Source organism: Homo sapiens, chromosome 6, assembly GCF_000001405.40.
Source record: "Homo sapiens chromosome 6, GRCh38.p14 Primary Assembly".
Taxonomy (NCBI): domain Eukaryota; kingdom Metazoa; phylum Chordata; class Mammalia; order Primates; family Hominidae; genus Homo; species Homo sapiens.
Genome location: NC_000006.12, coordinates 12,944,957 through 12,958,662, shown reverse-complemented (window position 1 = coordinate 12,958,662; position 13,706 = coordinate 12,944,957). Strand labels below are relative to the sequence as shown.

At 42.8% G+C, this 13,706-nt stretch overlaps 1 protein-coding gene across 16 annotated transcripts in view, besides 1 other annotated feature; it reads right to left on the bottom strand.

Annotated features, from left to right (window-relative positions):
* The window catches only part of PHACTR1 (phosphatase and actin regulator 1), a 571,071-nt gene that overhangs the window by 329,175 nt on the left and 228,190 nt on the right, over positions 1–13,706 (bottom strand). For 2 of the 16 annotated variants that reach the window (NM_001322313.2, NM_001322312.3), the window contains exon 1: positions 626–1,356. The exons of 12 other annotated variants lie outside the window; for them this stretch is intronic. The gene's annotated coding sequence lies outside the window, so the exon portion shown is untranslated. Of the gene's footprint in view, positions 1–625; positions 1,357–13,706 lie in introns of those variants that run through there. 2 more of the 16 variants (NM_001322311.2, NM_001374583.2) reach the window with 2 other exon arrangements.
* Positions 2,101–2,892: an enhancer, noted in NCBI's record as "OCT4-NANOG hESC enhancer chr6:12956003-12956794 (GRCh37/hg19 assembly coordinates)". NCBI's record gives its function as "activates a minimal SCP1, AML or CMV promoter by ChIP-STARR-seq in naive H9 embryonic stem cells {active_cell/tissue: H9 hESC(naive)}" and the evidence as "EXISTENCE:reporter gene assay evidence [ECO:0000049][PMID:30033119]".

Below are 13,706 nucleotides of genomic sequence, written 5' to 3'. Positions count from 1 at the left end.
CATCTTGTTTATTTCTCAGGCTCTTTAGAAGTCAGTGTTAAAAGAATCCATGTAGCATTTCTTATTCATGCTGAGTGAGCTGTTATCAGTTCCCGTATTGATTTCTATCTCCACGCAGCAAGCCTCAAAATGCCACTGCCCCAAGCTGGAATCCCACCAAGCCTATCCCTTATGTTTCCGTTTATTTTCCAAGTCGTCTTTCCTTTTTCTTCAGCCACAAATTCTCCCTGAACCCACTTTCCCCAAAATAACAGCTGCGGATTCAATTTTTCCTTTCCTGTCTCTTTAAGTCAGAAACTTCCTGAGGTTCCTAAGAGCTGCCTGCCTCAGCAGGCACCAGGACTCCCAGCAAGTCTCCATTGCAGTGAGATTTGCAAGTGAATCTCCTTTGAAAATCATCACCAGTTTTGTATCCATCTCTTCTGACTTTGAGGCATCTACACTAACACCGTGGGCTCCAGCCTATCCTATGAACCCGGCCCGAGGATTTCAAAACCAAATCTATTGATATTGGCAGCTCCATCAAAGGAAAATTCTCTAAACCGAACAAAGCATAAAACCAATACAAAATCCATCTAACAAATAAACAAAAGGCAATAACATGATTTCAGACGCCAATGCCTACCTTAAAGGCTGCCCAAAGCTCTTTGCTCCCACATGCATCCGCCTCTCTGGGTCTGTTTCCTGGCTTTCCAATAGCTGTGCTTTCTTAAATTGAGCAACAGTCTCCTCAAGTGTCGGGCTCTGAAAATACACATGCTACACACGCCCATGCAGCCTCTCGGTGCCAGGCAGCCCCTTCGCCTTCCTTCCCGGCCGTGCCAATTCCCTGGCCGCTGACCAGCTCCCACGTGGGATGGAATGGAGAAGGGGAGGGTGTCAACCAAAGTCGGGGGATGGATTCAACTCACCGTGGACTAGGTGGCCACCCATCTGGCATGAAGGGTCCATTTTATCCCTTTTCTAACCTAAAACCGCCTCCACGATGGTCTCTCCAGCCTCACTCAGAGCCCAGAACAGTTGGCAGGCACACCAACCCCTCCTGGGTGTGACCTGCGGGTACTCAGACGTCTCTAAAGTGGCAGCCTCCAGCCGGTGGGGCACAGACTGCCTCTTACCTTCACAGAGCCCCAGTCCTTAGAAGCCCAGCTGGCGTCTCCAAGGAGTCCTGCGTTTTACTTGACATTGGAGGCAACCGGTTGCAGAAACAGGGAACATTTCAAAATGAAACAGAAAGTAACCCGGGGATCCAAACCAGACCCCCGACCTGCCTCGGCCGTCCCCAATCTCTGGGAGTCTTCTGACTCAGCAAGCCTGTACAGCTGTTTCAGCCTGGAGAGGATTCAGAGGAAATGCAGCTTGGAAGTCTGGAACTCACAGCCTGGGCTTTTTTTTTTTTTTTTTTTTGAGTATTTGTTGAGCTTTTTAACATGCAGTTTGTCTCCTTCTGCAGGGAATTACTCAGTGATCCCGTCACCTGACTCAGGGCAGTTCCATTATATAATTCTAACTGCTATTAGATCGCTGATCGGAAAACCACACTTGCCTCCCCTTTCCCCCACCCCCCAGCATCATCCACCCCACCCCGCCCCCTAGGAAGGGAAGAGGGAGGAAGACCTCAAAACGCGACACAATGACAATTAACTTTCCTTGAACCTTCCCTGGAAGGACTGCATTTTTGCAATGCACTTTAGTTCCCTTCGGTTCAATTCTTGAGTAGAGGACCTCCCAAATGCCCATGAGGAGTGAGTGGGAATTTCTCAGGATGGGACGGTAGCAGCTTTCCTGATTTTCTTTTAGGATGGTTCTCTGTAGGTGGGATAAGGCGCTGAATGGATTTTCAAATGATCAAGTGCGTCGTCAGTTGAAAAGCTTCAGGTAGATTTATAAAACATGTGCAAATAAAACCTAAAACCGAGAATCTTCTATTATTTTTTGCCACATTTCCGTGAAATGCCAAAGGGGTGGCTTGGGTTGAGGGGTCTTGAGCCAAAACCCCTGCCCTGACCTCGATCCTCATAAACCCTCTCCAGCCACCTCAAATAAGCATAATGCCCAAGGGACAACATCTTGCTTTGCTAGGCAAACATTTCTGAAAGGGCAAGCTCCCAGTCTCCACTTTCAACCATATTGCAACCCCTCAGGCCACTCTAGATAGACATTTTGAAGCCACGCCTGTCCTAGGTGAAGGTAATAGTAATAATTCCTCAATGCCCCCAGTCCCTGTCTTAGCATCTGTTATCTCTGTCCAGATGATACCCACTAAGGAGCAAGCATGTTCAAACAGAATCGACCCATGAGTGGAACTTAAGTGGCAATCAATGAGGGTAACACCTAAAGCATCACACAATACGACGATCAAGTTAAAAAACACTCCAGCCCATTTGCTTTTTCCATGTCAAAGCGCAGATGAACTATCTGCATAGCTCTCGGCTCCCAATCTTCTCCCAGCCAGCGGAGGCTTGTTGCTGAATACAGGAAAAGAACTATTTATGTTGATGAGAACAAATGCTAATGTTGGTCAGCCTTGTATGGGTTTTTCTAGTCTCACTCCTTTTCTCTCTCCTGGATCTTCCCAGCCCATAATCACCAGAGGAAACTACTTTCTCCCTCCTGCCTTCCTCCACTATTGTAAGTAATGTTAGATACTATTTTCATGTTAAAATATGTGACATTAGACAGATACAGTACCCTAAGAATCACTTTCAAAACACTTTGTAACTATCTATCCACATACCCCCCTGAGGTCAGCATGGGGTAATGACTGTTCTTATGGAGACCCAGAGAAGCCAGTGTCATAGGCGGGAGTTAGAAGACGGGTCTCCTACTCTTGGTGTTCCGCTTTGCAGAGGAAAACCCAGATAGACATGAGAAAAATATTAATGTGTAAACCTGAAAACCTGAATGACAGATTGATGTCTGTTTATGTCTCTCCCTCCAGGTGTAGTAAATACAAGCTATTGTGGCCGTTGCTACAGTAACTTCTTTCTTAATAAGAATAAAGACACATAGGAAGGTGTTAGAAAACATCAGGTGGTGAGACATTCATCAGTAATGGGAGGAGGATGCAGTAATAAAAAATATACCCTTGGCCTGTACATAGTCCTTAAATACTGGCACTGCAAATCTCAAATTTCTTAGACCAGCACTGTTCAATAGAAATATAATGTGGGGCCAGGCATGGTGGCTCAATCCTGTAATCCCAGTGCTTTGGGAGGCCAGGCGAGAATAGGAGTTTGAGACCAGTCTGGGCAACATAGCAAGACCCCGTTGCTATAAAAAATTTTTTTTAAAATTAAAAAATTAGCTGGTTGTGTGCACCTGTAATTCCAGCTACTGGGGAGGTTGAGGTGGGAGGATCCCTTGAGCCCAGGAGGTCAAAGCTACGGTGAGCCACGACTGTACTACTGCACTCCAGCCTGGGCAACAAAGCAAGATGCTATCTCTCTCAAAAAAAAAAAAAAAAAAAAGAGGAAATACAATGTGAGCCATAGATGTAATTTTCAATTTTCTAGTAGTCATATTAAAATTTTTTAAGGGAAATTATTTTTGTAATATATCTTATTTAATCCCATATACCCAAAACATTATTTCAATATGTAATCAATATAAAAATTAATGAAATATTATGTATTCTTTTCATACTGAATATCTGAATATTGGTAAGTGTTTTATACCCTCATCACATCTCAAATAAGACTAGCCACATTTCAAGTGCCCAGTAGCCACATGTGGTTAGTGGTTATCACATTAGATGGCCAAGCCCTGGATTATATATGGCCATTTTGAGGTTAGAATTTATTTTAGGGGAACAAATTTGTCTATCCCTACTTGCACATTTTAGAAAAATAAATTATATTAATTTGGTTCTAGCCCTATGGCATAATTCAAGTGGTAATCTCTTGGGTGGAACAATAAAACATCAAATAAGCCTGGAATTGAAATAGTATTAAAGATTCAACTTCTTTCTTGCCACTAGAGGATCATGAACATTAAAACATCAATCTCAGGTTTGTAAAAAGTTCTTTCCTTGTGTTGCCCCAGTTGCCCAAGCTCAGGCTCCCAAAGTCTTATCTTGACTTGACTCTACTTTCTACACATCCTCTCTCTCTGCCCATTTCCCCTAGCCCTCCTAATAGACCCCTCAATCTTATCAAGTCTACCTGTCACCTTTTCTCAAGTGGCAGGGCCTCAGCCAGTACCCAAACTATCACGAGCACCCCTGCCTGGCCCTCCTGACTCCACTTTCTGACCACTTGAGTTCAGTTTCTACCCTGCCTTCAGTGTGAGCATGTGTCAAAGCAGACATTTAATCATATAGCTTCTCAGCTTAAAACTTTTAATAGCATCCTACTGCCTTTCAAATGGAATCCACACTCCTTGCAGTGATATGCTAGGCAATCATAAAGTGGCCCTGGGAGCATTTCCAGCTCAGCTCTTTGCTGCACAGTCTTTGAATTTACCCTAGTCTACATGCTTAACTGTGTCATGGCTTCTCGGTCTCCCTGCCTTTGTTTAAAGTCTGTTTCGTCTGCCTGGAATGTTCTTCCTTGAAATGCCTATCCCTTACCAAATAGCGAAATCTTTCAAGCCCAGCTCAACTGTTTCCTGTAGTTTTTCCTAATCTTGTAGTCAAAATTAACAGTTTCCTCACCTATGTCATCACGCCGCTTTTATTAGTCAATGTATTATAACTTTTATCACATTCAACTATAATCTTATAATATGCTATACAAGGACCTTTCCAAGAATAGGAATTATGTGTGTCATTTACCTATGAATTCACCTTGGGACATAAGAGTATTTCAATAAATGTCTGAGGAATTACAATACTCTTCCTTTCTACTCCTCCTTCTGACTCTCTAATCCCTTGGTGTATTATCGTTACCACCATCATCATTCTCGTCATTACACAGCAGCCAATATGATCAGCACTTACTAGGTATCAAACACTGTGCTAAGCATTTTACACAGATTTCATTTAATTCTAACCAAAAATCTGTAAGGCAGGGACTTATAATATCCCCAATTTCTAATAGCTGTGGCATCTTGAATACAGTTTCATTCTTTCAGCCAGTGTTTTTAGGTCATTCTTATAAACACCTGTTTAGACAAGTTGATGTGTAGTTGTGTCTCCAAAGTACACAGGGTTACATATTTGTTAACTTATTTGCAAACAGGCTAAGGCATGTATTTTTGTTTTATATTTTTAGTGTCTCTGACTCTTTAAAGCTTCCAAATTTTAGTGGGCTGGGAAAATAGAAAACTAGCTTACTAGCATTTTGTGTAGAATGAGAATATTGTAGCTTTGATTTTATTTTTATGTATTTATTTATTTTTGAGATGGAGTCTGGCTCTGTTGCCCAGGCTGGAGTGCAGTGCCGCGATCTCGGCTCACTGCAATCTTCACCTTCCAGGTTCAAGAGATTCTCCTGCCGCAGCCTCTCAAGTAGCTGGGATTACAGGTGCCAGCCACCAAGCCCGGCTAATTTTTATGTTTTTTGTAGAGACGGGGTTTCACCACATTGGCCAGGCTAGTCTCTGACTCCTGACCTCAGGTGATCCACATGCCTCAGCCTCCCAAAGTGCTGAGATTACAGGCATGAGCCACCACGCCCGGCAAGAATATTGTAGCTTTGAGTAAGGGCACAAGGGGCACACTGCCATGTGGATGTCACAGGACCTGACATTCAGCCTTTTTCTCAGAGTCATTTTTGGCACTATTTTTGGCTCTCTAGTAGTTTCTACCATAATTCAGTTTATTGGTGCTTTAAAAAATGGACAGACCAACCATCCAATGCTGGCAAGGACAGGAAGGAACCCTCATTTATTGCTGGTGGGGACTCAAAATGGTACAGACACTTTGGAAGACAATTTGGAAATTTCTTACAAAACTAAACATATTATCATATGATCCAGACATCCTGTTCCTTGGTATCTACACAAAGGAGTTGAAAACTTCATGTCCACACAAAAATCTGCACAAGGATAGCGGCTTTATGCATAATTGCCAAAAGTTGGAAGCAATCAAGATGTCCTTCAGGAGGCGTATGCATAAATAAACTGGTACATCTGGACAATAGAGTATTATTTAGCATTGAAAGCAAATGAGCTCTCAAGCCGTGAAAAGACATGAAGGAAATCTTAATGCCTCCATGGAAAAGAGCCAGCCTGGAAAGGCCACACACTGTTTGAGTCTGACTACATGATATTCTGGAAAAGGTAAACACTATGGAGACAATGAAAAGATCGGGGTTGGGGGAGGGAGTGATGAATGAGTGGAGCACAGAGGATTTTTAGGGCAGGGAAACTACTCTGCTCAGATGATACTACAGTGGTGAGAACATGTCATTAAACATTTATCCAAACCCACAGAATGTTCAGCACCAAGAGTGAACCCTAATGCAGGCTGTGGACTCTGGGTGATGATGATGTAGGTTCATCAATTGTAACCAAGGGATCACTCTGCTGGGGGCTATCCACAGGGAGGCTGTGCACTCGTAGGGTAGGAGGTATATGAGAAATCTCTGTTCCTTCTTCTCAACTTTGCTGTGAACCTAAAACTGCTCTAAAGCACATGCCTGTTTTTTTAAAATATGAAGGGACCAGAGAACGTCTTGCTCACGGGTGCCCAGGGCTGTGCTCACTGGCTCGAGTGCAATGCACCAATTGTTTTTCACTGGGTTGTCAGTTACTCGAGTATTCATTGCTTTCTGCGTTTTGTTTCCATAATGCCACTACATAAACAGCAGTGCATGTACTAAAGGTTTAACAAACTCTTGTTGAAATGAAATGAATAGAAAATACACCGGGTGCTTCACATAATAAATACGTATTTTCACCTACTTAAACAGCATCATAGCCTCAATGTCAACAGAAAACTATTACCAAAGGGGTTTCTGGAGGCTCTGGAGCCTGGGATAGCCTCAGACTTGCACAGGCCATGGTGCTAGGAGGCCAGGCTCAGGGCTAAAGGAGAAGCTGATTTCTGAAAAAGCCTAACTCCCTCAGGGACTTGATCCAGGAAGAGGCTTTTTGCTCTGTGTGCTCCAAGGGTCAGCCCTTGGCCATCACTGCCTGGCTTTACAACACATTGCACAGGGCAGAGCTGTCTCTGCTGGGCAAAGTACTTTACCCTCTGAGAGCCTCAGTTTCCTCATCTGTAAAAAGGGAATGAGGATATTGCAGATTATAACTCCCCCCTTTTCTTTTATTATCTTAAAAATGAGTTTATTTTGTCTCCTTGCTATCCCTGGCTGACTAACTAAGGGTCTTTGTATGGAGATCTTTTTGCCAAGGCCATATTAAGCTCACCACGTTGCTAAACTTAGACTAGCCTGTTTCTGCTCTCCCTTGGAAGGTCTGCAATACGATAAACAAGAAAGGTATGAGGTCAAAGGATTCTTGTTCTGAGCAAAGCGGACAGTTTCACATAGAGCTTCCCAGAATGAAGGCAGGGCCTGACAGGAATGAGATCAGAGGCCTCCAGCATAATCTATAACAGAGCAGTTATTACCTTCCTCCCTGCCAAGTCAATGCCACTGCCAATCTCGGAAGCCATTTTTCAAATTGCTTTTTGGCCAGCTCAGCACAAAATCTATATGACAGCTTTACTTAGGGAGAGCAACAGAAAAAGGCAGTTTCCTGCAGGATCAGGCCCTTTTGTTGGTCCGTCTAATTCTCTCCAAGGCACCATGTGGAATTTGTGTCATGACTTGTGCCCAAATAGGACCAAGACCCCGGAAAGATACAAGAACTCAGAGGCCTAGGTAATGGCGCAAATGAATGAGGTGTTACAAGGTAGCAACTGCAGTAGGAAGAGGCCTGGGATGGAATTCTAGTTCTGCCACTTGCTCACTGGGGCCAGGTGAGTTAGCCTCTGTTTCGTAAACTGGGGGGAAGTTCTAAGGTGATGTTTGTAAAGCACCTGTCAGGGGCCTAGGGCAGAGCTGGAGCTGAATGATCCTAGCCAGGTTGGTTTCTTAGCCTCCTTTTTCTCATGTATAAAACGGAGAAGGACAACAATGCCCCTTTTGTACAGTTATTTGGGGGAAATTAAATGAGCTCTCCAGCAAATGGTGAGTACCACATGTGTGTGCCTCTCCTCCTCCCTTCTCCCGGAAAACCTCTAAGTTGCAGATTGCATTTTCCAAAGATGAACACAATCATATCTCCAATCCTATGTGGTCTTCTAGAATCCTACCACTCCACCATCAAGTGGTGGAATCTAATTCCTCTCTCTCTGAATCTGAGTAGGCTGGGAACTTGCTTACACACAGTATGGTAGAAGTAATTCTGTGGGACTGCAGAGATGCCATCATAAAAGGCAATGTAGCTTCTCTCCAATTAGTTGGGATCCTTGCTTTTGAAGCCTTCAGATGACAGGTAAGCAGTTAACTGCTTTGAGGCCGCCATGCTATGAGGAAGCCCAACTTAGCCTGCATGGAGGGACCAGAGAGTTCCCAGATGCTCCAGCCCCACCCTTCAACAGTTGCTGCCTGAACTGCAACCTCATGAGAGACTGAAACAAGAACCACTCAGGTGAGTCCTCCCAAATCCTGGCTCACAGAAAGATGAGAAATTATCAAAATGATTATTGTTTTAAACAGCTAAATGCTGGGGTGATTTGTTATGCAGTGAAAGAGACTTGGGACACTCCAGTAGCTACTTAATAAAAATCCTAAGCAGCCCAGGATTGGAGCATTAGGTGTGAGACGGCAGGGGTGTATATAAGGCTTGGCCTCTTAGTCATTCTATCAGCCGTGGGGATGAGAAACTCCATTTTCAAGTAGTAATCTAATCCTTCTCTTCCTCAGAGCACTGTGTAATTGTGTGTGTGTAGTGGTATGAGAAAATCCCACCATTGATCCAGATTGATTCGTGATTTTTTTTCAAACCACAGAAGCTGTTTACTTTTATACTAAATCTTAAAGTTACCAAACCATTTTTGATTTAAAAGGACGTTAATACTTAACAGTTTTCAAAGTGTTTTATATCAGGGTTTATATATTCTTTAAATTTATTTTAAATAAACCACTATAGCACTATATTCAGACCCCCTTCCTGGTTGGAATATCCTCTCCAACTCCCATGCCTTTTTGGCCAATGTATGTCTATACCACAGTTGCCTCCAGAGACTCACCTCCTCCAGGAAGCTCCCCAAACAAACACAGTGGATTTGGGTCATTTACTTAGTCTTCCCTCCCAATGAGCACTTATGCTAAGAGAGTGGTGTCTGTGCTGGAAGATGTTGCCCTTGAGTTACTATTTACTGGGCTTTCCTAGGTGTTTCATTGACATAGGTTGTATCTCCACTGTGGTGAAAATTTCTGGAGAATGTGGACCATTTTTCTTTTTTTTCCTTTTCTTTCTTTCTTTTTTTTTTTTTTTTTTGAGATGACGTTTCGCTCTTGTTGCCCAGGCTGCAGTGCAATGGCATGATCTGGGTCACCACAATCTCCGCCTCCTGGGTTCAAGTGATTCTCCTGCCTCAGTCTCCCAAGTAGCTGGGATTACAGGCATGCACTGCTACACCAGGCTAATTTTGTATTTTTAGTAGATATGGGTTTTCTCCATGTTGGTCAGACTGGCTTCTCACTCCTGACTTCAGGTGATCTGCCCGCCTCGGCCTCCAAAAGTGCTGGGATTACAGGCGTGAGCCATTGCGCCTGGCCCATTTTTCTATTTCTTTGTACCCCAATGTCACAAGGATTCCTTGATCTGACCTTCAAGCATGTCTGTTATAAAAATTTATTTTGAAGTGCTCTTATGACTTTCCACACAAACAAAGAAAAACAGCTATAAATGCTTGGAAGTAAAATTTAATATATCACTAAATTGTCAAATATTCAAATACTTCAGAATGTGAGAGCAACTTTGAGTAAGTGCATGTGAATGAAATGTAGATGATGAACACATAAAAAAACCTAATTGAAAGATAAATATGGCCTCAATTACCTCTTCCTAGAGGAAAATAACATGGGGTTCAAAGCTTAGGTACCGGAATCGGGCAGGGTCAGGGTTTAAATCTTGACCATTATTACTTTAACTGTGTGACCTTTGACGAGTTCACAAGTCTTGAAGGGGGATAAAAATAAAGCCTATATCATAGGATTATTGTCAAGATAAATGTGGTTTGTGTTAAATACTTAGCATCATAACTGGCACAGAGAAGGCATACATCTTATAGTTTACTGTTATCATCTGCATCACCACCATGACCACCACCAACAACCCTATCCTAGTCACCATGATGGGTTTTGCTCTTAAGGCCTTAGAGCTGGCTGGGATATACCTCTTTCTTTATTTAATCACCTTTCCTTCCACTGAGACATTTTCCCTTCAACCCAACTATATTTCTCAGCTTTTATGTTAATGTCATGATCATGATTGTTTCAAACAATCCAAATAATCTCAGGGGCTCTGTACAGCTTACCAACACCCAGCCATGACTTGACACTAGGTGTTTTCAACTGTCTCAGTCAGCATCACCTACTGGCCAGATTACCCTAGAACAGGAAGTCTGTTTTGACTAATGATGCAGAACCATCCAGCTCCTAAGTCTGTTGCCAATCAGCTTGGCCTTTCCTTTAGGGATATGGAAAGGTTCATGGCGCAACTACAATGAGCCAACAGAGGAGAACATTAGGGTTGAAAAAGATAAAGTCTATTGGAAATAACATTATAGATTACTTGTTCATTCACTTATTCATTTATATATTAATTCGTCCATTCAACAAATAGTTATTAACAGCCTGCTATGGATCTGTAGGATATACAAATGTGAAGAAAGCAGAAGTGATTTCTGCCTCATAAAGTTTTCAGACTGGTGGAAAATAACTGCTTTGTCATCAAATGACCCTGGGTTTGAATCTGACTCTGTCACTTACTACGTATTTAAATTGTTTAGACCTTTCTGAGCCTCACTTTTCCTTAGGGTGATTGTGAGGATTAAATAATTCACGGAAGTCTACTGCTTACCACAGCCCCTGGCAAGATCTACCATTTCTTTCCCCAAAGGTCATATAATTTATAGCCACTAGAGTCAGGATGCAAACCCAGGAGCGTCTGGCTCCCACATTTATGCTTTCAAAGAAATGTTCTAAATATTTCCTTAAAGTCTCACTACTTTTGATTTAGTTTTTTCCTCCCAAGTCACTAATTCATCATCCATTCAAAAATAAGAATGTTGTTTTTTCAGATGTTTTTCCCATGTCTTCTTTATTTCTCATTGAACCCTCTGCAGTAAACCACTTCCCTCTACATTAACTGATGTGAAAATCATGAGGCAACTGTTGTCATCACAGAAAAAAAAAAAAAAAGCAGAATAGTTATGTTTCTTCAGGTTATACTTGGGAAGCCAGATAAAGTGCTGGGTTATGCAGACCATCCTGTCTCAACAGTGCAGTAGAAAGAGGCATAGTAAGCATCTAGCAGAAAGAACTTGGCTTGCCACGTGGTAATTTATGGGTATTCCTTTTTTTAATCTAGAAGTTGGAATGTTACAAAATTATATTAATGATCTAGGGGACCTCCACTAAAAATCCAGCACCATCGGCCGGGCATACCTCACGCCTGTAATCCCAGCACTTTCGGAGGCCGAGGCGGGTGGATCACGACATCAGGAGTTTGAGACCAGGCTGACCAACATGGTGAAACCCCATCTCTACTAAAAATACAAAAATTAGTCAGCCGTGGTGGTGGGTGCCTTTAATCCCATCTACTTAGGAGGCTGAGGCAGGAGAATTGCTTGGACCGGGGAGGTGGAGGTTGCAGTGAGCCGAGATTGTGCCACTGCACTCCAGCCTGAGCGACAGAGCAAGACTCCATCTCAAAAAAAAAAAAAAAAAAAAAAAAATCCAGCACCATCATTGCACTGTATGTGTAATGCTTCTTTTGACTCTGAGCCCTCTACCATATTGGACACCACACTGCAATTCTTTTCTCTCTTTCTGCAATACCACTTACTCTAAGCTACTTTTTCATTTGTTTGCTTCAACTGTACTTCTTATTTCTTTGCTTTTTCTCCATTTATCTGCTTCTTAAATGTTGAGTTCTCTCTCAAGCCATTTTTTGGCCTTACTTTTCCCTGGATGATCTCACTTCTGATCTTTTAATCTATTTTTCTAGAGCCTTCTCTTCTACACCACTTGCAATTTTCCCAATTCACATCCTTACCCTCTCTTACCAGGTCTTCTGCAATAATCTAACTGGTTTCCCATTTGCAAATCGCTCATATCTCGGAGCTTTGTTTTTCACACCGCCACCAGAATTGGCTTCCTAAAACCAGGTTAGTACATGACACCCTTTCTCAAAGGTTAATATCACTCCCTTGACAGCATAATGTTCAAGTTGTTTAGCATGGCACCCAACTTCCTTCACTACATTCCTGCTCATTTTTCACTCCATCCCTCCCTGATGCCACATTTTCTGCTATTATAGTCTACTTAGTATTCTACACACTTTTCATCTTTCCCTACCCACCTTCTCACTGGACAAGGCATTTCTTTATTCTTTATCTTTTGTGGCATTTCCCAATATATGCTCCTCAGAATACTGGTCTTGTGAGATGTCTACTGAAGAAAAGAAATCTGGTAATCTGGTGTAATACTGTATACTAGATCCACTTCCACCCCCGCCTTGGAGGTTTCATGAACTTTAGCATTTATTTATTTATTTATTTATTTATTTATTTATTTTTGAGACAGAGTCTTGCTCTGTTACCCAGGCTGGAGTGCGGTGGCACGATCTTGGCCACTGCAACCTCCACCTCCTGGGTTCAAGCAGTTCTCCTGCCTCAACCTCCTGAGTAGCTGGGACTCCAGGCACCCACCACTACGCCTGGGTAATTTTTGTATTTTTAGTAAAGTTGGGGTTTTGTCATGTTGGCTCGGCTGGTCTCGAACTCCTGACCTCAGGTGATCTGCCTGCCTCCGCCTCCCAAAATGCTGGGATTACAGTCATGAGCCACTGTACCCAGCTGAACTTCAGCATTTAAAATGCTCTGAGAAGTCCTGCAGCAGGTAAATCAGGTTGGCTTTGCTACCCAGTGTTTCCTAAACACCAGATTCCTCTTTTTCTAGAAACCCGTAAGAATTAGCATTTAATGACCGTACACTGGGAATCCCTGATTTATTCAAATCTTCTTCACTCATTCACATTTTATTTCATCTGTCCTTATTCATGGACTTGGAAAATATTTATTTAGCACCATGCCAGGCACTGGAGAATGTACTGAGAAAATATTCTCGACAGCAAGATGAACATAATTCCTGCTTTCATGAAACTTACAGTTTTGACTGAACAGTGGATAAGTAAACATGCAATAACCACAAAATGCAGTAAGAGCTATCATAGGGGAAACAGAGACAGTTGTGGCAGCGCATAGCAGAAAGACAATGAATCTGGGGGAGTGATTAGGGAGGGCTTTCTGGAGGAAGTGGTTTTATATGGGGACCTAAAAGAGAAGTAGGAGTTAGTCAGATGGGAATAAAGGAGGCAAAAGGGGAAGAATGTAGTCAGGGGCAACTGCTCGTATGAAGCTGCTAAAACCAGAGAGAGCATGGCATGTCTGAGGGAGTAAAAGAAATCTTAACTCTCATGCCTGTAATCCCAGCACTTTGGGAGGCCGAGACGGGCGGATCATGAGGTCAGGAGATCGAGACCATCCTGGCTAACACGGTGAAACCCCGTCTCTACTAAAAATA